The sequence below is a fragment of the Homo sapiens genome, chromosome 4 (assembly GCF_000001405.40).
Source record: "Homo sapiens chromosome 4, GRCh38.p14 Primary Assembly".
NCBI lineage: Eukaryota > Metazoa > Chordata > Mammalia > Primates > Hominidae > Homo > Homo sapiens.
The window spans coordinates 153,342,887-153,370,852 of record NC_000004.12 but is presented as its reverse complement, the minus strand read 5'-3'; the positions used below and the strand labels follow the sequence as shown (position 1 = coordinate 153,370,852).

General features: G+C 40.0%; 1 protein-coding gene across 6 annotated transcripts in view, besides 4 other annotated features; it reads right to left on the bottom strand.

The window, feature by feature from the left end:
* MND1 (meiotic nuclear divisions 1) overlaps nucleotides 1–26,204 on the bottom strand; it is a 70,470-nt gene extending 44,266 nt beyond the window's left edge. For 2 of the 6 annotated variants that reach the window (XM_005263275.3, NM_001253861.1), the window contains exons 1-4: nucleotides 26,113–26,204; nucleotides 20,724–20,789; nucleotides 15,142–15,199; nucleotides 12,231–12,379 (exon numbers count right to left, since the gene is read on the bottom strand). In XM_005263275.3, coding sequence (XP_005263332.1) covers nucleotides 12,231–12,379; nucleotides 15,142–15,199; nucleotides 20,724–20,789; nucleotides 26,113–26,115 — 276 coding nt within the window. In that variant the 5' untranslated portion in view covers nucleotides 26,116–26,204. Of the gene's footprint in view, nucleotides 1–1,013; nucleotides 2,796–3,943; nucleotides 3,994–7,827; nucleotides 7,867–8,280; nucleotides 9,351–12,230; nucleotides 12,380–15,141; nucleotides 15,200–20,723; nucleotides 20,790–26,112 lie in introns of those variants that run through there. The other 4 variants (NR_045605.2, XM_047416247.1, XM_047416246.1 and 1 more) reach the window with 4 other exon arrangements.
* Nucleotides 25,057–25,176: an enhancer, noted in NCBI's record as "active region_22052". NCBI's record gives its function as "activates an Ori minimal core promoter by ATAC-STARR-seq in GM12878 lymphoblastoid cells {active_cell/tissue: GM12878}" and the evidence as "EXISTENCE:reporter gene assay evidence [ECO:0000049][PMID:35858748]".
* Nucleotides 25,257–25,316: an enhancer, noted in NCBI's record as "active region_22051". NCBI's record gives its function as "activates an Ori minimal core promoter by ATAC-STARR-seq in GM12878 lymphoblastoid cells {active_cell/tissue: GM12878}" and the evidence as "EXISTENCE:reporter gene assay evidence [ECO:0000049][PMID:35858748]".
* Nucleotides 25,797–25,956: a silencer, noted in NCBI's record as "silent region_15758". NCBI's record gives its function as "represses an Ori minimal core promoter by ATAC-STARR-seq in GM12878 lymphoblastoid cells {active_cell/tissue: GM12878}" and the evidence as "EXISTENCE:reporter gene assay evidence [ECO:0000049][PMID:35858748]".
* Nucleotides 26,087–26,396: a silencer, noted in NCBI's record as "silent region_15757". NCBI's record gives its function as "represses an Ori minimal core promoter by ATAC-STARR-seq in GM12878 lymphoblastoid cells {active_cell/tissue: GM12878}" and the evidence as "EXISTENCE:reporter gene assay evidence [ECO:0000049][PMID:35858748]".

Here is a 27,966-nt window from a genome sequence, read left to right as displayed (position 1 = left end):
ATTCACCATTCTAGATGCCATTAAGAATATCTGTGGCCAGGCATGGTGGCTCCCGCCTGTAATCCCAGCACTTTGGGAGGCTGAGGTGGGCAGATCACTTAAGTCAAAAGTTCAAGGCCAGCCTGGCCAACATCGTGAAACCCTGTCTCTACTAAAAATACAAAAGTTAGCCAGGCGTGATGGTGCCTGCCCATAATCTCAGCTACTCAGGAGGCTGAGACCAGAGAATCACCTGAACCCGGGAGGCGGAGGTTGCAGTGAGCTAGGATCGCGCCACTGCACTCCAGCCTGGATGACAGAGTGAGACTCCATCTCAAAAAACAAAACAAAACAGAACATTTGTGATTAAGGGGAGGAGGTCAAAACATCAACATTAATAATAATTTGGAAGAAGTTGATTCCAGCCCCCATGTATGACTTTGAGGGGTTCAAGACTGCAGTGGAAGAAGTAACTGATGTGGTGGAAATGGCAAGAATAAGAATGAGAAGGAGAAGCAGAGAATAAAGATGTGACTGAATTGCTGCAATCTTATGGTAATACTTAAATGGATGAGAAATTGCTTCTTTTTTTGAGATGGAGTCCGGCTGTGTTACCCAGGCTGGAGCGCAGTGGTGTGATCTCAGCTCACTGCAACCTCCGCCTCCTAGGTTCAAGTGATTCTCCTGTCTCAGCCTCCTGAGTAGCTGGGATTCCAGGCGTATGCCACCACGTCCGGCTGATCTTTGTATTTTAAGTAGAGACAGGGTTTCACGATGTTGGCTAGGCTGGTCTTGAACTCCTATCCTCAAGTGATCCGCCTGCCTCAGCCTCCCGAAGTGCTGGGATTACAGGACTGAGCCACCGAGCCTGGTCCTAGGAATTGCTTCTTATAGATGAGCAAAGAAAGTGGTTTCTTGAGATGGAATCTATTCCTCATGCAGACGCTGTGAACATTGTTGAAATGGCAACAAAGGATTTAGAATATTCCTGAAACTTAATTGACAAAGTAGAGGCAGGGTTTGAGAGGACTGACTCTAATTTTCAAAGTTCTGTTGTGGGTAAAATGCTATCAAACAGCATCACATGCTACAGAGAAATCTTTTGTGAAATCAATCAATGGAGCAAACTTCACGGTTGTCTTATTTTTAAAAAACGACTATAGCCATCTACCCTTCAGCAACCATCACCCTGATCAGTCAGCAGCCATCAAGATCAAGGCAATACCCTCCACCTGCAAAAAGATTACAACTCACAGAAGGCTCAGATGCTCATCAGCATTTTTTAGCAATAAAGTATTTTTAAATTAATGTACATTAGTTTTTAAAAACATGTTATCACATATTTAATAGATTACAGTATAGTATAAATATAACTTTTAGGTGCACTGAGAAACCAAAAAGTTTCTGTCCTCACTTTATTGCATTATTCCCTTTATTGTGGTGGTATGGAACTGAACCTGCAATATCTGAGGTATGCCTGTATTTATGCTCATGTGTAATCTCCTCTCTTGAGTGTAAACTAAATTTAATGACTTGTTTCTAGGGAATAAAATGTGGCTGAGGTGATGGGATGTTGTTTCCTAGATTAAGATACAAAAAAACTACTGCTTCTGTCTTGGACTCTCACACATGAGCTTGCTTTGAGAGAAGCCAGCTGCCATACTGTGAGCTGTACTACGGAGAAAACCATGTGGTAAGGAGCTGAGGGAGGCCTTGGGCCAAAAGCCATCATAGAACTGAGATCTGCAGCCCAAGACCCTGCAAGGAACTAAATCCAATAACCACATGATTGGATTTGGAAGCAGATCCTCTCCCAGATAAACCTTCAGATGAGAATATGGCCCTGGCCAACAGTTTGACTATACCTCACATAAGGCCTTGAGCCAGATGTACCCAACTAAGCCATGCTGGGATTCACGAGTCACAAGAACTGTGAGATAGTAATGTCTATTTCTTAAAGTCACCCTGTTTTGGTATTTCTTAAAGTCACCCTGTTTTGGAGTACATATTTTTGTTACATAGCAATGGATAACTAATACAAAATCTAAATCACACTTTTTTTTTAAAGGCTACAAAACAGTAGTATTCATTTAGAATACACATTCGGCCACAAATAACAATATTTAACTAAAACTGGATTAAATAAGGCTAGTACAGTATCTCATGATGCCACCAGAGACCCAAGATCTTTTTTCCAGGCTCTGTCATTCTTTGAGAATGTGATATGGACATGAATGAACAGAACTTTCATCCTTATGCTTTTTATCTCAGTAATGCATATCACAGAAAAGAGGAGAAAGAAGCTTTGCCTTTTTCAGGAAAGTGAAAACTTTCCCAGGAAAGTCAAAGCTAGTCTTCTACTTACATCTCATTTATCAGACCTGCTTCCCATTGCCACCATTAGTTGCCAGGGAGTCTGGAAAGATGAGTATTTTTTAGTAAGACACACTATCCTTTAACAAAGTGTTTTGTTAGTGAAGAAGAGGAGGACAATGTTGACTAGCTAGGCAACCAGCAGTACATGCCAAAGCAATATATTTTACTTGTGATAAAAAATATTACAGGAGGTTAGAGAAGGGTAAGAATATTTTAAGCAATGAGAGCTTGAGGAGGTTTCTGAGAGGAGAGATGTTTAGAATTTGGCTAAATAGAGAGGAGAGAAAAGGGAATTCTCAAAAAGGATAAAAGCAAGAACAAAAAAACATGAAGACAGGGAAGTTCAGTAAGGCCCATAAGTAAATTACCTTGTATAAAGTTTCTAAATTCATAACTAAGATTTTAAAAATTTGCTGAGTGATGAATATGCACGTTGTTTCCTAGCAGGAAAGAAAAATACAGCATCACGTTTAAGAGAAGAGATATGGGCAAAGAATATAATAAAAATTTATTCAAGGAAGATATACAAATGGCCAAGAAGCACATGAAAAGATGCTCAACATCACCAGTCATCAGAGAAATGGAAGCCAAAACCACAATGAGATACCACTTCATACCCACAAGGATGGCTAGAATCAAAAATTCAAATAGGTTTTGGGAGGATGTGGAGAAATGAGTGCCCTAACACACTGTTATCAGAACTATAAAATGGCGCAGTTGCTCTGGCAAACAGTCTGGCAGTTCTTCACATAATTAAACACAGAGTTACCATATGACCTAGAAGTTCTACTCCTAGGTATACACCCAAGAGAAATGAAAACATATGTCCACACAAAAACTTGTACATCAAAGTTTAGAGCAGCATTATTCAGAATAGTCAAAAAGTGGAAAAAACTCACATGCCCATCAACAGATGAATGGATACATGAGATGTGGTGTATTTGTGAATGGATAAATTAGATGTGGTATATGTGTACAACAGAGTATTATTTGGCCATAAAAAGTAATGAAGTACTGAAACATACTACAACATAGATGAACTTTGAAAATACTATGACAAGGGAAAGAAGTCAGTCATGAAAGACTACATATTATATGATTCCATTCATATAGAATGTCCAGAACAGGGAAATCTACAGTGACAGAAAGTAGATTAGTGGTTGCCTAGATCTGTGTGGGAGGAGTGGGCTGAGAAGATTCAGAATAATAGCTAAAGAGTAGAGCGTTTCTGTTTGAGGTAATGAAAATGTTCTAAAATTGACTGTAGTGATGACTGTACATCTATCAATGAACATATTAAAAACTATTACATCATACACTTTAAATGGGTGAATTATATGGTATATAAACTATATCTCAGCAAGGCTGTTGAAAAAAAAGAGAGATAAGGTGAGCACTTTTAGAATATCTGCCCAGCCACCGCTCTTTTGAGACTTCCATTCCACCCAACTCTGGCAGCCAAGGGGAGAGGCGGGGAGAGTAAGAAGGGGAGAATGGAAAGACAGGCTACCTGTTTTGAGAAGCGGTGATTAAGAATGAGGACCCTGGAGTCAAAATACCTGAGACGGAATCCCAATTCCACACTTACTGTGAGACCTTGGACAAGCTCTTAATCTCTCTGTGTCTCAGTTTCTTCATCTATAAAACAAATATAATACTAACCTCATAATACTGTGGGGATTAAATGAGATAATATATTTAGGACCATGGTTCACTGCCAGGCACAAGTGCTCAATAAATACCAGTTATTATTCTTACATGTTTTCCCATTCCTATTTCTAGTTCCTTAAAACAAACCCACTAGTGTGAGTAATGTCCTAGTACTTGTAACCAATAACACTCTAAATATATAACTTCAAAGAAAATGTGGAACAACTTGAGAGTCAGGGTTCAGTGAGGACTCCCCCATCTGCAGTGAGATTAGTGAAGCCGTTGGTTAAATTATAAAGACTTGTCTCTGAACTACAGATTCATATATTTAATTGTCTACTTGATATTTCCACTTCTTTGTCTAACAGTCACTTCAAACTTAACATGGTCAAAGCTGAATTTCTGATTTTCCTTTAGGAAACTGCTCCTCTTGCAGTCTTCCCTATCTTAGTTGAATTTTTAAAAAATTCATCCACAACTGCTGTGGTAGGTTAAATAATGTCCCCCAAAGATAGGAGGTCCCAATCCTTGGAACCTGTGAATGGCACCTTATGTGGCAAAGACTTTGCAGATGGGATTCAAGATCTTGAGATGAGATTACTGATCTCAAGGATTACTATGACAGATCCTAAATGCAATCACATGTATCCTTATTAAAGGGAAATTTGACACATACAGCAGAGCAGAAAGCAATGTGACCAAGAGGCAGAAATTAGAGTGATGCAGCAACAAGTCAAAGAATGCTGGCAGCCCACAGAAATTGAAAGAGGCAAGGAAGATTATCCCAGAGAGCCTCTGGAGGAGCAACAGCTGTGCCAACACTTTGATTTTGGCCTAGTAACACTGATTTTTAACTTCTGGCCTCCAGAGCTGTGAGAATAAATTTTTGCATTTGCAGCCACCAAGTTTGCACTAATTTACTATGGCAGCCATAAAAAACTAATACAATTCCTTTCTTGACCTCACACTCTACATCCATTCCATAAGGAAATCCTACTGGCTCTAATTTCAAACTACGTCCAGAATCCAACAATTTTTTCACAAATCCACTGCCACTGCTTTGGTTTAAACCATCATTACCGTGGCCAGGCACAATGGCTCACACCAGTAATCCCAGAACTTTGCGAGGCTGAGATGGGAGGACTGCTTGAGCCCAGGAGTTGAAGGCTGCAGTGAGCTATGATTGTGCCCCTGCACTCCAGCCTGGGTGACAGAGCAAGACCCCATCTCTTAAAAAGAAAAAAAAAAAGATCCTCTCTTTTCTGAGGCCTTCTCTTTCCTTTTTCTTAAATAAAAAATATAAAATAAATAAAAAAACCACTGTAACTTTACAGTTGGATTATTCCAATAACCTATCTGATCTCCCTGCTTTCAACCTTTGTTAACTAATGGATCCCAAGTGCCTAGAACAGTATCTAACACACAACAGATAGTGGTATTCAATAAATTTGTTGTTATTTTGACTCCATGTCCTGTGTTCCTTTCTAGAGTTTTTTCTCTTATTTTATGAGTTATCTATCATGGGAGCAAGGGTGCTGCTCAGCATCTGAACCCTGCTTCTGTTTTGGGGAACTGTTTGTGCCAACAGGAAGCAGCTAACTCCTACTACAAAATCTAGAAACCCCAATTATTTACTTCGCCAGCTCTCCTGGCAACTAGAGTGTGGACACGTGACCCAGGCTTAGCCAATGACACATACCTTCCAGAATTGTCACTGGTAGCTTGGATAGTTTTTTTTTTTTTTTTGGTGGCAACAACATCTGGTTCTTCAGTCAGGGACAGGAGTGCCAGTGGAACTATCTTCCAAGGTCAGCAATGTCAGGCCTCATTCTATTTTTTATTTCTGTAAGTTTGACTACTCTAGATACCTCATATATGTGGAATCATAGAGTATTTGTCTTTTTATGACTGGCTTTTCACTTAGCATATTGCCCTCAAGGTTCATCCATTTTGTAGCATTCGTCAGAATTTCATTCCTTGTGGTGGGATGAGCCTGCAATCCTAGCTACTCAGGAGGCTAAGGCTGGAGAATTGCTTATGCCCAGGAGTTTGAGGCTGCAGTGAGCTATGACTGTGCCACTGCACTTCAGCCTGGGCAACAGGGTGAGACTCTATCTCTAAATAAATAAATAAAAGGAATTCCATTCCTTTTTAAGGCTGAATAATATTCCACTTTCACATTTTGTTTATTCATTCATTGAAAGTCATTTGGGTTGCTTCTACCTTTCAGCTACTGTAATGCTGCTATGAATGTGGGTGTACAAATAGCTCTTCAAGACCCTGCTTTCAAGTCTTGGATATGTACCAAAAATGGATTTTTTTTTTTTTTCTTAAACAGGGTCTGACTCTGTGGCCTAACCTGCAGTGCAGTGGCACGAATACAGCTCACTGCAACCTCAAACTCTTAGGCTCACGCGATCCTCCCACCTCAGCCTCTCGAATAGCCGGGACCACAGGAGCCTGCCACTATCCCCAGCTACTTTTACCATTTTTTTGTAGAGATGGAGTCTTGCCATGTTGCCAGGCTGGTCTTGAATTCCTAGGCTCAAGTGATCCTCCCACCTCAGGCCCCCCAAGTAGCTGAGACCACAGATGCACACCACAGAATTGTTGAATCATAGGGTAATTCTATTTATAACTCTTTGAGGAGCCACCATACTGTTTTCCACAGCAGCTGCACCATTTCACATTCCCATCAACAGTGCACAAGAGCTCCAATTTCTCCAAATCCTTGCTAACACTTATTATTCTCTTTTGAAAAAAATTTATTATTATTATTTTGTAATAAATCTTGCTGTGTTGCCCAGGCTGGCCGTGAACTCCTGGGCTCAAGTGATCCTCCCACTTCGACCTCCCAAAGTATTGGGATAACAGGCATAAGCCACCACACCTGGCCTTCTCTGTGTTTTTGATAGTAGCCATCCTAGTGAGTGTGCAGATACCTCAATATGGGTCCTCATTTGTTAACCATGCAATTACAATAGCCGCATAGCTGATTTCTCTGATCCTAGGCTCCATTTCCCTCAACCTGCTCTTCATACTGTCTTCAGAAAGGCATTTATCATCATGTAACTTCTCTGGTAAAAATTTCCATTGGCTTTCCATCCCTCTTAGGTAGGTCCGAACTCCTGATCATGCCACAGAGGAACCTATAAGACATGGCCTCTACCTATCTCTTCACCAATCCTTCTCTAGCCTCTTCCTTTTCTCCCACTGTCCTCCTACAACTGACTGAAAGCTCTCTGAGGGCATGTATTTCCAAAATCCAGCACATCTTCTGTTACTCAAAAAACATGCAAAAACATTTTTTGAATGATGAATAAAACAATAAAATAAGGCCGGGTGCAATGGCTCATGCCTGTAATCCTAGCACTTTGGGAGGCCGAGGCGGGTGGATCACCTGAGGTCGGGAGTTCGAGACCAGCCTGGCTAAAGCGGCAAAACCCTGTCTCTACCAAAAATACAAAAATTAGCCAGGTGTGGTGGCGGGCGCTTGTAATCCCAGCTACTTGGGAGGCTGAGGCAGGAGAATTGCTTGAACTCTGGAGACAGAGGTTGCAGTGAACTGAGTTTGTGCCTCTGCACTCCAGCCTGGGTGACAAGAGCGAAACTCCATCTCAAAAAAAAAAAAAAGAACTATCCCCAGGTGACAGAAATGAAAAAACAAAGAGCAACAACAGAAAAGTAACTAGGGGCTAGGAGTCTAACATGCACACCAGGAAAACAGGTGTGAAGGGTCATGAGACAAGGAGAGCTAGAACTGAGCTCCAGCATATAGCTCAAAGTACCAGCAAACTCCATGGAAAATAACAAGGAGCTTACCTCCATCTTGCACTTCATGTGGGGGTGGGGGAAAGTCACCTATAGGAAAACAAATCTCTCAATCCATGCCATGTATAGACATGCATACTAAATTTTATGCAGTACTCATCCTGTATAAAACATGAGGCGGTGGAACTGTAAGCCAAGAAATTAATATAAAAATTGGTCCATAACTACTAAAGTACCCAGAGACTAAAAAAAACAAGCCTAAACCACTATTTCACAGAGCATCTGTGGCTCCCACAGACTAAACATCACCAATTGAATGTGAGCTCATAAATAAAAACTAAAAAACATACAGGTTAAAAAAATACTACAAATGGTAGTAGCCAGCAGATACACAGATCAAATTAATAGCCCTCCCCAAATTTGACATATTTAAGTAATCTGAAAATATAAGTTAAGTATGTGTATTAGGCTGTTCTCACATGGCTATAAATACCTGAGACTGGGTAATTTATAAAGAAAAGAGGTTTAATTGGTTCATGCTTCTGCAGGCTCTACTTGGAAGCATGGTGGCTTCTGCTTCTGGGGAGGCCTCAGGGATCCTTTACTCAGGGCGAGCAGGCATTTTACATGGCAGAAGCAGGACTGAAAGCGGGGGAGGTGCTACACACTTAAACAGCCAGATCTCATGAGAACTCACTCACTATCACAAGAACAGCACTGAGGGAATGGTGCCAAACCATTCATGAGAAACCGCCCCCAAGATCCAATCACTTGCCATCAGGCCCCACCTCCAACACTGGGGATTACAATTTGACATGAGGTTTGGGAGTGGACACAGATCCAAGCCATATCAGTATGTTTAAAGTTATAAAAGAGATGAAAGCAATAGAAGCCATAATGAAATAGAACAGTATAGGAAAAACAGGATAGGCAGAACTGAAAAAGGACCAAATAGAATTTCTAGAGATAAAATCTAATTATTAAAATAAAGACTTAATGAACAGCTAAGTAGCAGATTAGAAATAGTTATGGAAAGAACTGTAAGTGAAAGAGAGCTGAGAAAATTAACTGCAATGAATCACAGACATGGAAAGACATGGAAAAAATAAAGAGTTCTTAAACAACATAGACGATAGAATGAGGATACAAATAGGAATCCCAGAAGGAAAGAACAGAGCTATTAGGGAACAGGAAACAGCTTAAGTAATACCACCTTAGAATTTTCTTTTTTTTTTCTTTTTTTTTGAGTCTTGCTCTGTTGCCCAGCCTGGAGTGCAGTGGCGCGATCTTGGCTCACTGCAAGCTCCACCTCCCGGGTTCATGCCATTCTCCTGCCCCAGCCTCCCCAGTAGCTGGGACTACAGGCACCCACCACCACGCCCGGCTATTTTTTTTGTATTTTTAGTGGACAGGGTTTCACCGTGTTAGCCAGGATGGTCTTGATCTCCTGACCTCGTGATCTGCCCGCCTCAGCCTCCCAAAGTGCTGGGATTACAGGCGTGAGCCACTGCGCCCAGCCAGAATTTTCTATAATAGGAGACTTTAATTATTTCATGGAAGCAGCAGCCAGGGTCCTAAAGAAGAGGAAATAAAAACATGCAAACTCGGATTCATGATAAAACATCAAAACATAACATCAAAGACTGAAGGAAATCTTAAAAGCAAACAGAAGAGAGATTACTAAGGAAAACAAGACAATCAGAATGATAGCAAAACATCTCATTAGCAACATATGCCACAAGACAATGAAGTAATATTTTCAAAATGCTGAGGAAAAATAACTAAGAATTCTATATTCGGGAAGCAATGATAAATTAGACATTTTCAAACAAAGATTGAGAGTTTACCACTCTTAAACTCTGGCTGAACAAATTACTAAAGGATGTCCTTCAGTACGGATTCCTTCTTGAAGTGTTTTTAAATCCATAAAGTGCACAGGGTTACAGGCCGGTCGCAGTGGCTCACCCACCAGCACTTTGGGAAGCTGAGGTAGGTGGATCACTTGAGTTCAGGAGTTCAAGACCAGCCTGGGCAACATGGCAATACCCTGTCTCTACAAAAAAGTGCAAAAATTAGCAGAGTTTGGTGGTGTGCCTATAATCCCAGCTACTCAGGAGGCTGAGGCGGGAGGATGGCTTGGGCCTGGGAGGTCGAGGCTGCAGTGAGCCATGTTTGCGACACTACACTCCAGACTGGGTGACAAAGCAAGACCCTGGGTACTTTAGTAGTTATATATACATGTGTATATATATGTGTATATATGTATATATGTGTATATATGAATATATGTGTATATATGTGTATATGTATATGTGTGTATATATGTGTATATACATATACACACAAAGCAAGACCCTGTCTCACACACACACAAAAATATTTATAGTATTTATTTATTTATTTATTTATATAAAAATATTTATATATTTTTGTGTATATATGTGTGTATTTTTATGTGTATATATATATACACACACACACACACACACACATACAGAAAAGAAGTAAATTATACTAAAATACAGTTACTTTGGACATGTATGTACAAAAAATTGAATTTAGACACACACTTTACACCTTTCCCAAAAATTAACTCAAAATGGATAATAAATCTAAGTGTAAAATGCAAAACTACAAAACTCCTAGAAGGTAACATAGGAGAAAATCTACATGCCCCTGGATTTGGCCACGACTATTTAGTTACAACACCAAAAGAATGTCCCAGGAAAGAAAAAAATTGACCAGTTGGACTTCATTAAAATTGAAAACTGCTCTGTGAAAGATGCTGTTGAGATAATGAAAAGATAAGTCACAGACTCAGAGGAAATCTTTGAAAAACACATATTTGATAAAGAACTGGTGTCCAAAATATACAAAGAACTCTTAAAACTCAATAACGAGAAAACAAAAACCCAATTGAAAAATGGGCAAAAGATCTAAACACCTCCTTTTACATAGATGACAAATAAGCATAAAAAAAGATGTTCCAGGGCTGGGTGTGGTGGCTCATGCCTGTAATCCCAGCACTTTGGGAGGCCAAGGTGGGTGGATCACCTGAGGTCAGGAGTTCAAGACCAGCTTGGCCATCATGGTGAAACCCCGTCTCTACTAAAAATACAAAATTAGTTGGGTGTGGTGGTGTGCACCTGTAACCCCAGCTACTTGGAAGGCTGAGGCAGGAGAATCACTTGAACCAGGGAGGCAGAAGTTACAGTGAGCTGAGATCGCACCATTGCACTCCAGCCTGGTCAAAAAAAGTGAAACTCCGTCTCACAAAAAAAAAAAAAAAAAAAAAAAGATCTTCCAAATCATATGTCATTAGAGAATGGCAATTTAAAACAACAATGAGATACCACTACACATCTATTAGAATGGCTAAAATACAAGACACTGACAACACCAAATCCTGGCAGTGATGTGAACCAATAGTAACTCTTACCCACTGTAGTTGGGAATGCAAAAACAGATACTTTGGCAGTTTCCTAGAAAGTAAACATAAACTTACCATACAATCCAGCAATCACGCTCCTTGGTACTAAATGTGTTGAAAATTTATGTGTACACAAAACCTACACATGAATGCTTATGGCAGCTTTATTTGTAACTGCCCAAACTTGGATGTGACCCAGATGTTCCTCAATAGCTCAATGGATAAACAAACTGTGGTATATTCATATAACGAAATATTATTCAGCAATAAAAAGAAATGAGCCATCAAGCCATTAATAGACATGGAGAAACCTCAAATGCATTTTGTTAAGGGAAGGAAGCCAATCTGAAAAGGTTACATACTGTATGATTCCAACTATATGGAAAAGGTAAAACTATAGAGACAGTAAAAAGATCAGTGGTTGCTACGGTTTCGGGAGAAGAGAGGGATGAACAAGTAGGAAACAGCGGATTTTTAGGGCAGTGAAACTATTCTGTACAATACTATAATTGTGGATACACGTCATCATGCATTTGTCAAAACTCACATAATGTATAACACCAAGACTGAACCCTAATGTAAGCTACGGAATTTAGTTAGTAATAAATCAATATTGACTCAATTGTGACAAACATATTACACTAGTATAGGATGTCAATAACAGGGAAAATTGTGTGCGTGGTGAGGGAGAAAGGGCACGTTTGGGAACTCTCTGTACTTTTCCATCAATATTTTTCTGTAAGTCTAAAACTGCTTCCAAAAAACCATCTATTGATAAAGAGAAAATTAAAAAACAATAAAAACAGCAACAACAAAAACAATATCTTGACATATGGGAAGATGAAAATTAAAACGTTCTAAGTTCCTCATATTGTTTAGGAGAAACAGATGTTAATTATCTTTAGACTTTCAGTCAAATAATGCATATCAAAAATTCAAAAGAAACTGCTAAACAAAAAGAGGATGAAGTAAAACAACTCTCCGTTATAAAGCAACTCTATTCTTTTTAACTGTGGCAGCTTACCTGAGATTCCAGAACCTCCAACTTATGTTTCCTTGCATGAAGAGCTTTACTTGGAAAAGCCCAATAATAATTAGAAGTTCCGATCCTCTCACAGTCAACCATACCATCATCAACTAAGCTTTGAAGGACTTCTTTTACTGACATAGCAGCTAAGAGACAATTTTTAAAGACTCTATGTTAGAAAAACACCATAAATAAAATTAAAGGACAAATAACTGGGGAAACACTTGCAAAACATATCACAAATCAAGAGTTAAAAAGTTAATAAGCTCTTAAAAATAACAACATGCACAACAATGAAACTGCCTAAGGAAACATTTCTTAGAATGTATCCCCATCCTTAAGCAAAGCATGACTTATACAGGAGCCTAGGGGAAAACAAGTAATATACAGGATTAAGAACAGGACCTGAGTTCTAATCCTAACTCTTAGCAGTAACACTGGATGACTCTAGGGCAAATTGTTCTTTATGCCTAATTTAAAAAATCTATTAGATATGATCATTTCCATACTTACTTTGGTGCATAGCAGTAATGTCAATAAAATGTTACTTGTGAGAAGCCTTTGAAAAAGCAAAACAAAACTACAGAAATGCAAGTTTTTCTCTCCCAATAGATTATCTAGTAATAGAAGATGCTAGCATCAGTGCTTAGTAAATAATTTTAATGGTGTTAACACTCATAGTCTGTTGCTATATGGTATCTTTTCCTTTTCTAAATAATGTTTCTTTTTTAAAAAAGATGTTGGGTAATTTGGCCATCATCTTATACTGCAGAAAAAAATTGTCAATAACTGGGAGGGAAAATAGGTAAGAAGAAAAGGAATTTAGTTAATACAATAAATTTTTCCATCTTGTAGACTGGATTGAATTTTGTTTTTTGTTTTTGATCCTTCAAGATACAGTTGAGATTCCATTACCTACAATTTGTCTGGGGACATTAGGACACTGGTGTAATTAATATTGTATAGTTGACCCTTGAACAGTACAGGTTTGAACTGCATGGGTCCAGTTATATACATGGATTTTCTGCCACCTGAGACAGCAACACCACTTCCTCCTCCTCCTCAGCCTACTCAATGTAAGATGACAAGGATGAAGAACTTTATGATGATCCACTGCCACTTAATGAATAGTAAATACATGGTATGGCTTCCTGTCAACAGCAGGCTATCAGTAGTTAAGTTTTGGGGGAGTCAAAAATTACATGCAGATTTCCAATTGTGTGGGGGATTGGTATCCCAATCTTGAACAACATAGGTGTTGTTCCAGGGTCAACTGTGTATTTAAACTTAAGAAATTTGCATATCTTTAAGAAGTAGCAGAACCAATTGTTCACTGATGACTGTAAAGAGAATAATTGTGTGGTGTACATAAAAGTGTGAGGGACTCTCAGTGGTTGTCTGGTTTCACTTGTATGTATACTCATAATAAAAGAGGTTTTTTCATTTTGAAACAACACAACAAAAGACACACAAAAAATACATCAATGTGCATCTATAAAATATGCATGGTGGCTCATGCCTGTAATCCCAGCACTTTGGGAGGCCAAGGCAGGTAGATCACTTGAGGTCAGCGGTTTGACAACAGCCTGGCCAACATGGCAAATCCCCATCTCTACTAAAAATACAAAAATTAGGTGGGCATGGTGGCAGGAGCTTGTAATCCCAGCTACTCATGAGGCTGAGGCAGGAGAATCGCTTGAACCCGGGAGACAGAGGTTGCAGTGTGCCAGGACTGCACCACTGGGCTCCAGCCTGGACCACTGGGCTCCAGCCTGGGTGACAGAGTAGACTCTGTCTCAAATAAATAAATAAACAAATAAATAAATAAATAAAATAAAATATGCATGGCCAATATATGAGAAAAATGTTCAACCCCATTAATAACTGAAGAAATCGAAAATAAAGCAATTAGACATGACTTGACTACCAAATTAAAAACACTAAAAAATACAATAAAGAATTCAAGGATACTTGAATGGGTACTCTCAGTATGGGTGGAGAAACGTGGCAATCTGTATCTAAAACTTCAGATTTATACATATCTTTTTTTTTTTTTTTTTTTTTTTTGAGACTGAGTTTCACTCTGTCACCCAGGCTGGAGTGCAGTGGCGCGATCTCGGCTCACTGCAAGCTCTGCCTCCTGGGTTCACGCCATTCTCCTGCCTCAGCCTCCTGAGTAGCTGGGACTATAGACGCCTGCCACCACGCCCGGCTAAGATTTTTTTGTATTTTTAGTAGAGACGGGGTTTTAGTAGGCAGGATGGTCTTGATCTCCTGACCTCATGATCCAACTGCCTTGGCCTCCCAAAGTGCTGGGATTATAGGCGTGAGCCACCACGCCCAGCCCAATTTATACATATCTTTCCTGGGGAAATTCCACCTTATAAATACAGCCAAACAAAAAATAATAGATATGTAGAAGGATGCCTGTCAACACATTGTTTTCGACAGCAAAAGAATTGGAAACCAGTCTAATAACTGGATTTTTATTTTAAAGACAGGATTTTGCTATGTTGCCTAGCTGGGCTGAAGTGATCCTCCCGCTTCAGCCTCCAGAGTGGCTGGGACTACAAGTGTGTGTGCGCTACCAGCCAGCTTATCAACTAGATTTTTAAAAGTATTTTTTTATTGCAATGGGATACTATACAATCATTTATGTTATAAAAGGATATTTAATGACAGGGATATATATTCAAAATGTAATATACAGGATGTATTATACAGAAAAATAAAGGACAACATGACAGTGGTTATCTTTGGATGGTGATGATTTCTTTGTCTCTAGAAATTTAGGTTTTCCATAAAGTGAAAGACTGTTGCAGAAAAGATGACTTAATGAATATTAAGATATTTCCCAAAACATCCCAGTATATTTCCCAAAACATTCCAGTATAACTTTGGTACTTACTAATGCCTTTCTCTTTGGGAGCAATCTTCTCCAAGTCTTTTAATTGAAATACATCTTTCTGTTTAAAGGGTTTTAAAGAAAATGAAAAGCACGTGTTTATTTTCTACTATGTATATTTTCATTTTTAAAAATTTTTATTATGGGTACATAATAGTTGTATACATTTACAGGGTATGTGTGATATTTTGATATAGGTATACAATGTGTTATGATGAAATTGTGGTAATTAGGGTATCCATCTCTTCAAACACTTATCATTTCTTTGTGTTAGGAACATTCCAATTTCACTCTTAGTATTTTTAAATATACAATATATTATTAACTATAGTCACCCTATCGTGTTCTACTACATATTTATATATACATCATAATTTTATGTTCATGAAAAATTGTATTTAAAAAATTGGCCTGGAAATGAACAGTATAATAGAATCAAGCATTTTAGAGCTTATTAGAAACTCTTTGATTATCTCATTCCATACCTTCAATAGAACTTAAGAGATTTTTGCATACATTTACAATTTGCATATATATACAATTTTTTTTTTGAGACATGGTTTCACTCTATGGCCCAGATGGGAGTACAGTGGCACGATCATGGCTCACTGCAGCCTTGACCTCCAGGGCTCAAACAATCATCCCACTTCAGCCTCCTGAGTAGCTGGGACTACAGACATGCACCACCATGCCTGGCTAATTTTTAAAAATTTTTTTAGAGAGAGGGTCTCACCATTTTGCCCAGGCTGGTCTTGAACTTCTGGACTCAAGCAATCCTCCCGTCTCAGCCTCCCAAAGTGCTAGGATTACAGAGATGAGCCACCATGCTTGGCCAGCAGCATACAATTATTTAAAGTTCTTGGAGATCAGAACATAAAGAACAATCTTCCCACTTAAGTATAAAAACTAGTTATAGGCCAGTCATGGTGTCTCCTGTCTATAATCCCACCACTTTGGGAGGACTGCTTGAGCTCAAGAGCTGGAGACTGGCCTGGGTAACACAGTGAGACCACTCTTGCACCACATCTCCACAAAATCAAAAAAATTAGCTGGGTGTGGTAGTGCGTGCCTGTAGTCCTAGATACATGGGAGGCTGAGATGGGAGAATAGCTTGAGCCTGGGAGGTTGAGGCTGCAGTAAGCTATGACTGTGCCACTATACTCCAGCCTGGGCAAGAGTATAGAGTAAGACTGTGTCTCAAAAAACAAAACAAAACAAAACAAAAACAATAACAAAAAACCACCATCCTAGTTATGCTGGATCACTTGGTAACAGGAACGAATTACCTTTTCTGACACTTTAAGAAAACACAGACAGTGCTTTGCTTAACATGTATGACACTGTACAGATTTAGCAGTTCTAACTAAAAGCGAAACAGGCAACTGTCAAAATTTGTTTACATTTAAGGTTTCATGGAAGAGCTATACCTAAACAATAGGGAAATTATACATTTCATGGCTACCTATCAATCATTCACATATACATGTTGCATGTCTACCACATGCAAAGCAAAACATTAAGGGAAAATATGCGTGTAGAATATTTAAATCTTATGGCCAGAAAAAAAAAACCTGTCTAGAATATTATTTTCTACTGCTAATAAGCCTTGGTTGAAGTGGTGAAAAGAACTTGCATAACAAAAGTTAAATCACTTGAAGAAACTAAAGTATGTAGTAATTAGAAAAGAAATACTGTGGCTGGACATGGTGGCTCACGCCTGTAATCCCAGCACTTTGGGAGGCTGAGGCGGGTGGATCATTTGAGCTCAGGAGTTCTAGACCAGCATGGCCAACATGGCAAAACTCTGTTTCTACTAAAAATACAAAAATTAGCTGGACGTTATGGTGGGCACCAGTAATCCCAGCTACTCGAGAGACTGAGGCACGAGAATCGCTTGAACCTGGGAGGTGGAGGCTGCAGTGAGCCAAGATCACACCACTGCACTCCAGCCTGGGCAACAGACAAAACAAAACAATAAGAACAAAAAAACCTAGAAATATTTTGATTATTGTTATGAAAAAATTGGGATACAGTTCTTCCAAAAAAAACTTGAAAAGGCAATTGCAATTAGATAGAAATTATACTTCATAAAAATTTATACTCATCCAAGGGCACTATAAAGAAAATGAAACGACAAATACCAACTAGATTAAAATAATCGCAAAACATATGCCTGAAAAAGGCGTGCTACCCAGGATATACGTATATAAAGAACTCCTTTGAAGTACATAAAAAAGAGTTGATGGAGAGATAAGTGGATAGATGAATATATATATATATATATATATATATATATATATATATATATATGTGATAAAGTCAGTAGAATAAAATGTGAATGGTAGAATCTAGGTGGTAGGCATATGGGTATTCACTGAAAAACTCATCTTTGCTGTATGTTTGAAAATTTTCATAATAAAATGTTGAAAAAATTTCATCTCACTACACCTAAGAGTTCGCAAATTTAGGAAAATATTAAGTCATTGAACTTAGTGCGAGTATGAGATCAATTTTTGCTCATCGAGGAATAAATTATTTAAACATAATACTTTAGAATCTCAGGGAACATGTAATAAATTACTGACTTTAAGTCTTTAATGCATTAGAAAAAACAGTTAATCAAACCTCTTTGCAAATACTTTAAATTCCCTAGAAAAAGAACATGAACCACTGAGATATCTGCCTAAATGCAGGCACCAAGGAAGAGCTCCAGATGTACTGGCTGCCCCAGTGGGGCTGCTGCATAAATAAACAGGCTTGGAAAGAAGTAGCCTCAGAACTCAAGTGCGGTCATTGAAGTGGACAGAGCAAATGATCTCAAGTAAATCTTAGTTCTTAGACTCCCCAGCATTAAGCAGAGAGAATCAAGGAGGGATGAAGAAAGTGTAAAAAGAACTATGTGTAAGGTACCATGGAAGACATATAATCCTAGATAATATCGTTGTGTTTTTTTTTTTTTTTTTTTTTTAAGATAGGGTCTCACTCTGTTACCTGGGCTAGAGTGCCTGAGTGACAGAGTGTGATCATGGCTCACTACAACCTCAAACTCTTGGGCTCAACAGATCCTCCTGCCTTGGCCTCCCAAAATGTTGGAATTACAGGTGTGAGCCGTGGCACCTGGCCCTAGATAACATTTAATAAAGCACTTACGACCTGGGCATTGTTTAATCATATTATCTTATTTAATCCCCATACCAACACTGTGAACTGGGTACTATTATCATCTTCTTTAAGAGATGAAGAAACAGACATAGAGAGGTCAAGTAACTTGCTTAAAGGTCACGAAGCTATTGAGTGAAACAGGTTCCAGATGCAAGCTTTCAGTTATTGAGCTATACTGTTCTCATGTTCTTCCTAAGTGCAACGGGCAAATAATTTATTACATTAGCAGCTCCAAAACCCACACACACACACGCACATATATATCCATCCATACATGATCATGTCTATGTCTCTTTTTCTCCATTTACATATTTATATTAAATTATCTGGGCATAAGCATGGCCATTCCAGAGATCTGTGTGCCAATGGAAAGCTACTCATTTAAGTGTTTGCTGAAGTAATTTTTTAAAAAGCTCAACACATTTATTGGTGGCCTATTTTGTGCCTCAAACAGTCCCTGAAGGTTCCTACCCTCTCTATGAGTTGTCATTATTACCAATGACTGTGTTTTTAAAAGGTTTCCAAAACCTCACAGACAGCCCACTTATGATTAGAGGCAATATAGTATATGCTGCTTCATTAGTTGATTTTCTAATTTGATTTAAAATTTGTTCACTATAGGTAACAAAGAAAAGAGTGTAAAACAAAATCCCCCTGTATCTTACCATTGTTAATATTTGTCATCATGTCTTGTTTTTTATATTCTACATTTTCTACTTAACATTAAATTATAAGCATTTTCCCATGACATTTGTCTTGAAAAGGGGGCTACTATTGACATCTATAGAAAATCAAATTCTGTAACAAATCCTGAGTAGCCATATTTGATTTTGTTGGAATTTTTACTTGCCAATTGCAACAACGAAATTAGAATCCAAATTCCTGAATCTGAATTCCAGAATCCATGCTTTTCACTTTGCACCATTATTGGCGATTTGCTTTGAGATGTTGAAGCAAATCTAATATTCATCAACTTTTGACATCAGTCTGGATCCCGGATATACCATATTCCATTCATGAAAGAACAAATGAAATGGCCTCCATTACTTTTCCCAAATCTCTTATACTTTTCAATTCCGTCAAAAAACTGATAGACTAAATGAGCAGCAACTGATTAGGCTATAATGAAAAAAAGAAACAGGAATATATGAAATAAATCAATCAGTACAATTAATTCCCAGCTTTATGGAAAACCTCACTAATTACTGAACTTCCTTAAACTGCTGATCCTCAGAGTCTTTCATGTTTTGATGTTACTAAGGACAAGGTTTAAAATTTTTCAGTTAGAAACAGCCAATTTTTATATTTGAGATAATAATATTGTAAATGACAAAATAATTTCCCCAACCACTCTCCTCAGCTTTCTACTGTCTTGAAGGAATTAAACTTACTTTTCTTGCTGAGACCATAGGAAAAATATTTCAACTCAGCAGAAGAATTGCTATAATTTTCACATAGAGACTTCACCAATTTATCTTTGTAACCATATCATCATCATAATATGACACCCTGTTCTGAATTGCCAATGACTTTTAAGAACAATAAGATTATACTTAGTGGGCAAATCCCGTGTATTTTGTTTGTTTTTTTTTTTTTTTTTTACTAAGAATCTGCCTTAAAGTGAAAAGGGATTTTATCAATTTAATATTCAATTCTACCACTTTTCCCCATCTTCTTCACATTTGTATATGATGAAAATAGCCAGTAGACTGGGGCCAACTAGGCTTTGTAGGTCCTGCCAAGCCATATGAAGTCGGTGTTCTTTTAGGTCAAAGATTTATGTGGCCTTTAACCTGAAGACATAGAAAAGCCTTCCAGTAACAGTGTAAAGCCATGAGACAGTAGGCTGTAGAGCCAGGTACCTGGGTTTGAACTCTGGCTCTTCACTTAGGAGATGAAACTTTAAACATATTTCCTGTTGATGGCAGGCACAAATATCTGGAATAAATGAAGGCCTCTGTACCATCGACTGTGTGTTACACTATAGACAGACTTAAAATGCAAAGACATAGTATTTGGTACTCCCTCTGAAATCAAATGATCCTCCCTGGTTTGAATCCTGGAACTATGGCTTCTATTGTTTGAGATCCAAGACTGGTTGGCACCTAGGCAGCACTCAGGAGATGTGGGCTTTCATCATTATTATTTTTCAGGCAGAAAGAGGAGATAATCAAATATATGCATCAGAAGATTCTGGTGCCAGTATGCAGGACTGCTTGGGTGAAAGAGACTCTACCAACAGTGGGATATGGTTTTTCACACTCCATAACTCACAGGAACCACAAATATTTGCAGAATCTTACCCATTCTTCAAGAAATTGATCAGTATTGATGTTTAACAAAGAGGGGACAGTTAACATTGGATGACATATACTTAAGATGAAAATTACACAAAATTATAAGTGTTAAAGAAAATGACTTACTGTTTCAGAAAATATTTCCATCATGCGAGTTCTCTTTTCTTCTGCACTCAGTCCTTTTTTCTTTGACTAAAGCAAAAAAATTAACAAGTAAACAATGCTTTTAAACACATTTTGAAAACAACTGGATTTGCAACATTTGAAATTTTATGCATGGTCTTATCTGATGCCAACAGGTTTGATACTCTCAAAGTCAGACCTAAAGACTCATTTTAATTACTATCTGCCAACCACTGTGGTAGGTGCTGCCAAGATGGTAACTGTAAATTGAGGCAGAGCCTGGCATTTTGTAGAAATTCAGCATTTATAAAGTAAACCAATGATAAGCCACTGTATTGACCTTCCAAAGGCTTACAATCTCTCAGAGAAAATATATAGATGCAACTATTTATAGCTAATGAACAGCTACATGCACCAATTGTTACATAAATACCCAGAACACAATGAATTCCACTATGCAGAGGAAGAAGGGTTACCTAAGGACAGAGATTAAAAGGATTTTGGCAAATTGAGAAATGGTTAGAAGCACATCTTGGGGAGACCACACACAGGCACAATGTTATGGAAGTACATGGAATTCCCCAGAAGGATAAGCAGTGGGGGACAGTTATTGTATGAAGTATGTAGGGGGATTGGCAGATGGGATGAGAAAGGTGTGGGGTCAGGTTATGGAAAGCTGACTGTCCAGCTGACAGTGGACTTCATTCTAGACAATGAGGAGCTGCTGAGTAATTTCTAAAGCAGACTAGTGACAAGATTAGAGTTGCATTTTCGTTAAGTTAATTATAGCAGCAATGTGGAAGAGAAGATGGAAGGGGGAAAGGCCTATCCAAGTAGAAAATGGAAGCCCACTCAGGTTATTCTTCTGTAATACCCTTTAGCCAACTTGAAATTAAGACAATATGTAGCTGAAATATATGTTAATAATAAATTTTACAATATATTGTACATAGAATATATAAAGCTAAATCCTAAGTTAAAAGAGAAAGGAGCCAAATTTCCTCCAAACCAAAGGTTTACAGAAAAAAAAAAAAAAAAGAGTGAGAACTATCACCTCCAGTTCTCTAATAAAAAAACTCCACACTAATATTTCTTATGTGATCTGCATCTTTCTCAAAAATTGTAGGGGATTATAAAGGAATATAAATTGTTTGCTTAAAAAGCAGACATAAAACAACAGTTAAAGACTGCCCCATCCAACCAAAAACATCATCAGAAAACGTGAGTTTACATAAGTGAAGACAAGGATTTGGAATTGCCATTCTGGCTACATACTGGAGTGAGTGAGTCTTAATTCTTGTAAAACCTAGAAACCCACTAACTTGGCTGGGCGGTGGCTCACACCTGTAATCCCAGCACTTTGGGAGGCTGAGGCTGGAGGATCACTTGAGGCTGGGAGTTTGAGACCAGCCTGGGCAACAAAGCAAGACACTGTCTCAAAACAAAACAAAACAAAGCCCACACACACAAAAAAAAACAACAACCCACTAACTCATTCCCACAGGAATAAAATGATCAGGTGTTTCTTGATGAGTAATATGGGTAAATAAATAGCTTAAAGTTTATATTTTTCTCTTCTTCCTCGGTCCACTTTCAAACACTGTTTTTCTGCTGGGTTTGGCTACTGATCCCATCTCCTAATATCTTATCTTTGATCTCATTTGCTTTCATGGTTTTAATTAACACTTATGCTGAGACCTCAAATCTTTACATTCACCCCTGGGTGTGCTCCTGAGCTTCAGTGTCATGCATCTACCCGCCTGCTGGACAAACTTCAACTCCGTCAGTCTAAACTGAACTCTTCCTCTCTCATACCTACTCCCCACAAACTTGCTGTTCTAGACCTTGAGTCTCAGATACTATCTCGTGACCCAAGCCAGAGGCCTGACAGTCATCCTAGGTACCTTCACCTCCTTATCTCACATCCAACCAATCACCAAGTTCTGCCAGTTTCAGCATTTAATTATTTCTCTTATCTGTCCTGTCTGTTCTATCTCTACTACCACTGCCTCATTCAGGCCTTCATCATCTATCTCCTGCAATATACCTCCAGTCCCCTAACCACACTTTGACTCACCCTCTATGTTCACATTCCGCACTGGGAAAACATAAATAAGACCTTTTTCCCTGCCTTGCTCAAAACCCTCCAGTGGCTCCCAGACATCCAGACGTTTCTGAGTACCCCAGTATGATATACAAGGCCCTTTATCACCTAACCCCAACCTACCTTTTATAGCCTCTTCCACCACACCCCACCTCAAACTTTGCCATTAACAGTATGGAGACCTAAGCAACTTGTAATACAAAAACTGCCTGTAATTATCTACTCGAAGAATGCTCTCATTTCCATCCTTAAAAAAAATGTTCCTCCACCTAGAACATCCTCACTTCTTGCCTAGTCAAAACTCCAAAACATCTCCCAAGGCTTAGTTTAGGCACTCTCCCTCCAGAACTTCCCTGAGTTCACAGGCTAAGCATGTATTCCCAGAACACACCTTCATCAAATCACTCACTACATTGAAAAGATGTTTACTTGTCCGTATCAGCACACTGAAAAACTTCTTCAGAACATGAACTGCCTTTGCCTTTCCAGGGCTTAGTGCCAAGTTAGACAAGGGAGACATAAAGCTCTTAATTTTAGGACCATGTATCTAAAGCCCCCAACTCTAAAATTTGAGGCTGCTCAGGCTCCTAAGCCCCCCAACACCTACCATACTCCCATAGATATAACAGGTGAATTAATCATAGTGAATTCAGTGACATCATGTATTGCCTGGCTTGAAGAGACAAATCAGAGAAATCTCAGTTAGGCAAACTCCAGGAACCCATACAGATCTGCTCACTAAACCTAGGGCTGAGAGCTAGGGTCCAGGACTGCTCTATTTGCCTCCCTTCATTCTCACCTCTGCAGTATCTGACAAATCAAGCATGAAATTCATAACAGTTAGAAGACTCCTTCAACATATTTTTCTAGTCCAATAGGTCCTAAACTGCCATACATTAGAATCACCTCAGGAGTTTTTAAAAAATACCGATGCCCAGGCTCATCTCTAATGAATGGAATCAAAATCTCTGGAATGGGACCTGGGCAACATATTTTTTAAATCCTCCAACTTATTTTAAAAATCCTCTCCAACATATTTTTTAATTGTGCCCCAGGGTTGAGAACCCTACTTTTGTCAGCCCAGAATCTGAAGGCCATGTCAAGGGCGCTGCGGGGCAATGGGAATCCCTTTAGAATTTCAGTGTGTCGCTGCACTAGCAGAAAGCAGATCCTGAAGTGTTAGGAAAGACTCCTAACATTTTGATATTCGAAACAGCTCCTTGCACTCCACAAGAATCTGCCCCCCAGAGGCAGGCAATGAGGAGAATCTAGCGTCCTGGGGTACCCAGTTTTAGGAAAGCTCTCAACACTCAGCTCAGCAGCTATGAAAGTTACTCAAGAAATGTGGATGAGCTGTATCATCCATTTACCTTGTTTTCAGGCTGATTTATTCATCAGTCTCTTTCATGACTAGAAATAATTTCTATTATTAACCACAGTAGGAGTATCATAGCCAGAATTAAAATAACTAATGTAAAAAGATGCCATATTAATACTCATATTTAGAAACTTCTCAAAAAAATCAATGAGGATTTATCTAATATTTAATTAAGACTAGGAAAAACCTGATAGTATAAGTTAGAGATGCATTCAAATTAGTAAGTCAGGAGACTCAAAACCTGACTCAAGGACTATGAAGCTTTCTGGAAGTATTTTAAACCACTTAAAAAATCATGTTATCTGAGGAACCTTCTCAGTTAGAAGTTATGGAATTCCTACAGCCAGCCCTACTAATCAATTACGATAAAATTATGAAGAATTATTAAGTAGACATCACTGCTGCTCTCAGAGTTCAGCACTGCACTTCTCCAATTTCAAAAATTGCCTGAACTCATTAACTATTTACTTAGGATGCCTAACCAAATGAAAACAGCTATTAATTCATAATCAATCAAAAGTTTACCTTTGACCAACACTAAATTTATTTCTCGATCACATATTAAAAAATAGGAAGTCCACATCTTATCAAAAGCTTTAATTTTTTAAAAGGATTCTCTATTATCGGAGGTAAGCTTCTAAAGAGTTAACACATTTAGTATTAGCAGGTGATTCATGTGTAGAGAGATAGATTAGGTAAAAGGACAACGCGCGTTTGAGCTGCACAGTTCTCCAAGTCAGTTATACGAGGCCAGCAACTCTGCAGAGAAAAATTGTAACACAGAAGGGCACTGCTAACAGATTTGTTTTAACTGTAGTCCTGTTTGGCTCCTTAGAGCACTTCACGCCCAGGTGGCTGGGTTGTTAGTTTAACCACAAAGAAGCCGTTATCATTTATAACTACATCTGGACAAATATCTTCAAATAAATACCATACAACTGGATCCTGGTGTCCCACCCTGCCCCCCTTAGCTCGGCAACATTTAACGGCCACGTAAGTAAATGAAGATATTAAAATCTTAGATCCATTTAACCAGATGTTGATTCTTCGCCAACTGAAGCAGAAAAAACGGCATGAAACTTTGAAGGTTTATGAAAATGATTTGATGAGCAGAAAGACGTTAAGCTCACAAAGCCGATCTTACCAGGACTTAACTGATCATGACCCACGAGGAAGCCTAATTCAGTGCAGAGCGTCCTTAAAAAAGCAACAGCGCCCTACACAACCAGCAGCACCCGGCACAAGAGCAGCGACTCCTGCCCTTTGGCAGAAACCGGGGCGTTTTCACAGAAATCGACTAATTGGCACACAGTGAAGATCCATTAGGTAACTCGAAACTGAGCAGTTCTGGAATGTGCTCTACATATTACAATACAGAAAACCACTCAATGGTGACAAACCAGGAGTGCGCTTTGGGATCAAGACGTTCGCTCCCCGCAGTCCCTCCCGCCCACTTGCGCTTTCTCTCCCCGTTCTTAATGGGGGGGGCTACACCACGCGGGGCCGAAGCTGGAGGCGTAGGGAGCCCAGGTTCTCAAGGGCCCCGTGGTCTTTTAGATAAATCCAGGTTGGTGAAGTTCTCGGGTCACGTTCGCGAACGCTTCCCGCGTTCTAACCTAACCCGCCCGAACGGGCCCTGGGGACAGACGCGGGGTGCAGCCGGCGGGGAGGCCGCGGATGCCCCCGCGCCTCGGGACTCCGGACAGGAGCGGCGGGGAACGCCGCAGAGTGCGGAGTGGCTGCGGCGGGGCCGGGCTGGGCCCCTACACGGTGAGGCCGAGAGCCGGGCGACCGCTCCCGCGGCCCGGAATGGCGGTCAACGCCAGGCCGGGATCCACATGCAGCCGAGGGGCGGCGAAGCCCACACACTAGGGAGGAAGAAGACGCGGGACCGTAGCCTCAGTCCTTACCATGGCGCGGGCGCAGGGGCTTCCGCTGGCCGGGCCCGCGCTTGGGGAGAGGGGCGGGACAGGCCAGGACGCGTTTGATTTTGGCGCCGACTACGCCGCGGGGGCGGAGCAGCGAGACGGTGGAGGTGGGGGAAAGAGGCCGGTCCTCGCCCGCGCGGCGCGCAGCGACCCCTAGCGACCCATCCGAGCCGCCGGCGGGGGAAGGGGCGCGGGCCTGGGGCCGGGGCTGTGGGGAGCGTGTCCGCGTCTCAGTGGACGGGTTGCAGAGCTGCCTCCGTCTCCTCGGTATTCTGTGAATGTGACCTTTTTTTTTTTTAAGGACATCTTGCCTTTGCTTTTACTGCGTTTTCTTGGCGCCGCAGAAATATGGCCTAAGTTTGGATGTAAAAAATAGAGGCGTTTAGGCTGTTGAGGAAGGAAACGCTGCCTCCATCCTTCCGGACTTGTCCTGTCTGGGGCGGACTGGATTCCTTTCTCGTCTTCTAATCTGACCCCTCATCTTCTCCCGAGCCGCTACCCACTGCTTTCCAGCTTTTCAAATCCTGTGTATGTCTGTTTGTTTTTCCCTTAGGTTTTAAAAAAGAAGGAAACAACGGAATGAATTTCAAATCAACATGGTCAAAAATACGCTACTTCATGGCTTGAGAATAGATCCAGATTCATAGCAAAAGCTCAGGCCCCTGAAAGTGCTGAAAAATTTTAACTCAGAATTCAATTATTTTGAAAATTATTCTATGGTGTTTTGAACCATTTTTAGGTGTAAGAAGTACGGTTGGGCGCTGTGGCTCACACCTGTAATCCCAGCAATTTGGGAGGCCGAGGCGGGCAAATCACTTGAGGTAGGGAGTTTGAGACCAGCCTGGCCAACATGGTGAAATCCCATCTCTAATAAAAATACAAAAATTAGCCAGGCGTGGTGGCGGACGCCTGTACAATCCCAGCTACTCGGGAGGCTGAGGCAGGAGAATCGCTTGGACCCAGGAGGCAGAGGTTGCAGTGAGCCAAGACCCCGCCACTGCACTCCAGCCTGGGCGACAGAGTGAGACTCTGTAACACACACACACGCACGCACACACACACACACACACACACACAGTGTAGTAAGTCTTGTAGATGCTATAAGAGTAGCATCTAAAGTTGGAATTTATGTCCCCTGTTGCTTCTGCTGGAGGCAGAGGAAGGGGTACATTGAATTGCAGAGTTCCATTAATTTGGTTTTTCCTGTAAGAGTTATACCATGTAACTGATGGTACATAAGGTAATTTTAAAATGATAAATGAGTACATTAAGTAACTACAGTAGTGGTATATACATTTGTGCTACTTGGGGAAAGCCTTGTCTTAATTGGCTCTCAGGCTTGTTGCAGGTGAGTGGTGACTATCTGAGGCCAGTGGCGCTGTGGCAGAAAAATTTACCAAGGCAGTTGTAAGTAAAGAAAGGCAGAATCATTAGAGAAAGCATGAAAATACGTTGCAAGGGAGCAATGGGCAGAATCAGCAGAAAAGGAGCTGACTGCAAGGAAACAAAGGCTTGCTGGGGATTTTATAGAATAGTGCTTATGCTGTATACGGAAGAGGGCTTTGTGCAGTACTGATGTTACAGTCCCAAGTTTTCCTCCGCCCCTGCCTCTAAAGCGACACAGTGCAAAAGCCTGCCCTGGGACAGTAACAAATTGACCCAAACAGGTCTTCTTTTGGGAAAAATGAGTGCTAAATGGATATAAAAAAGGGTCACTTAAGCTGCATCTGTATCCTAAGTGTCACTGAGAGCTGCTGTGACAGTTCTCTGAGGTTCCTGTTGTGCATTGCAGTCTTGATCAACCAGACCTGGGAATCACCGCCACCTAGGAAAGAA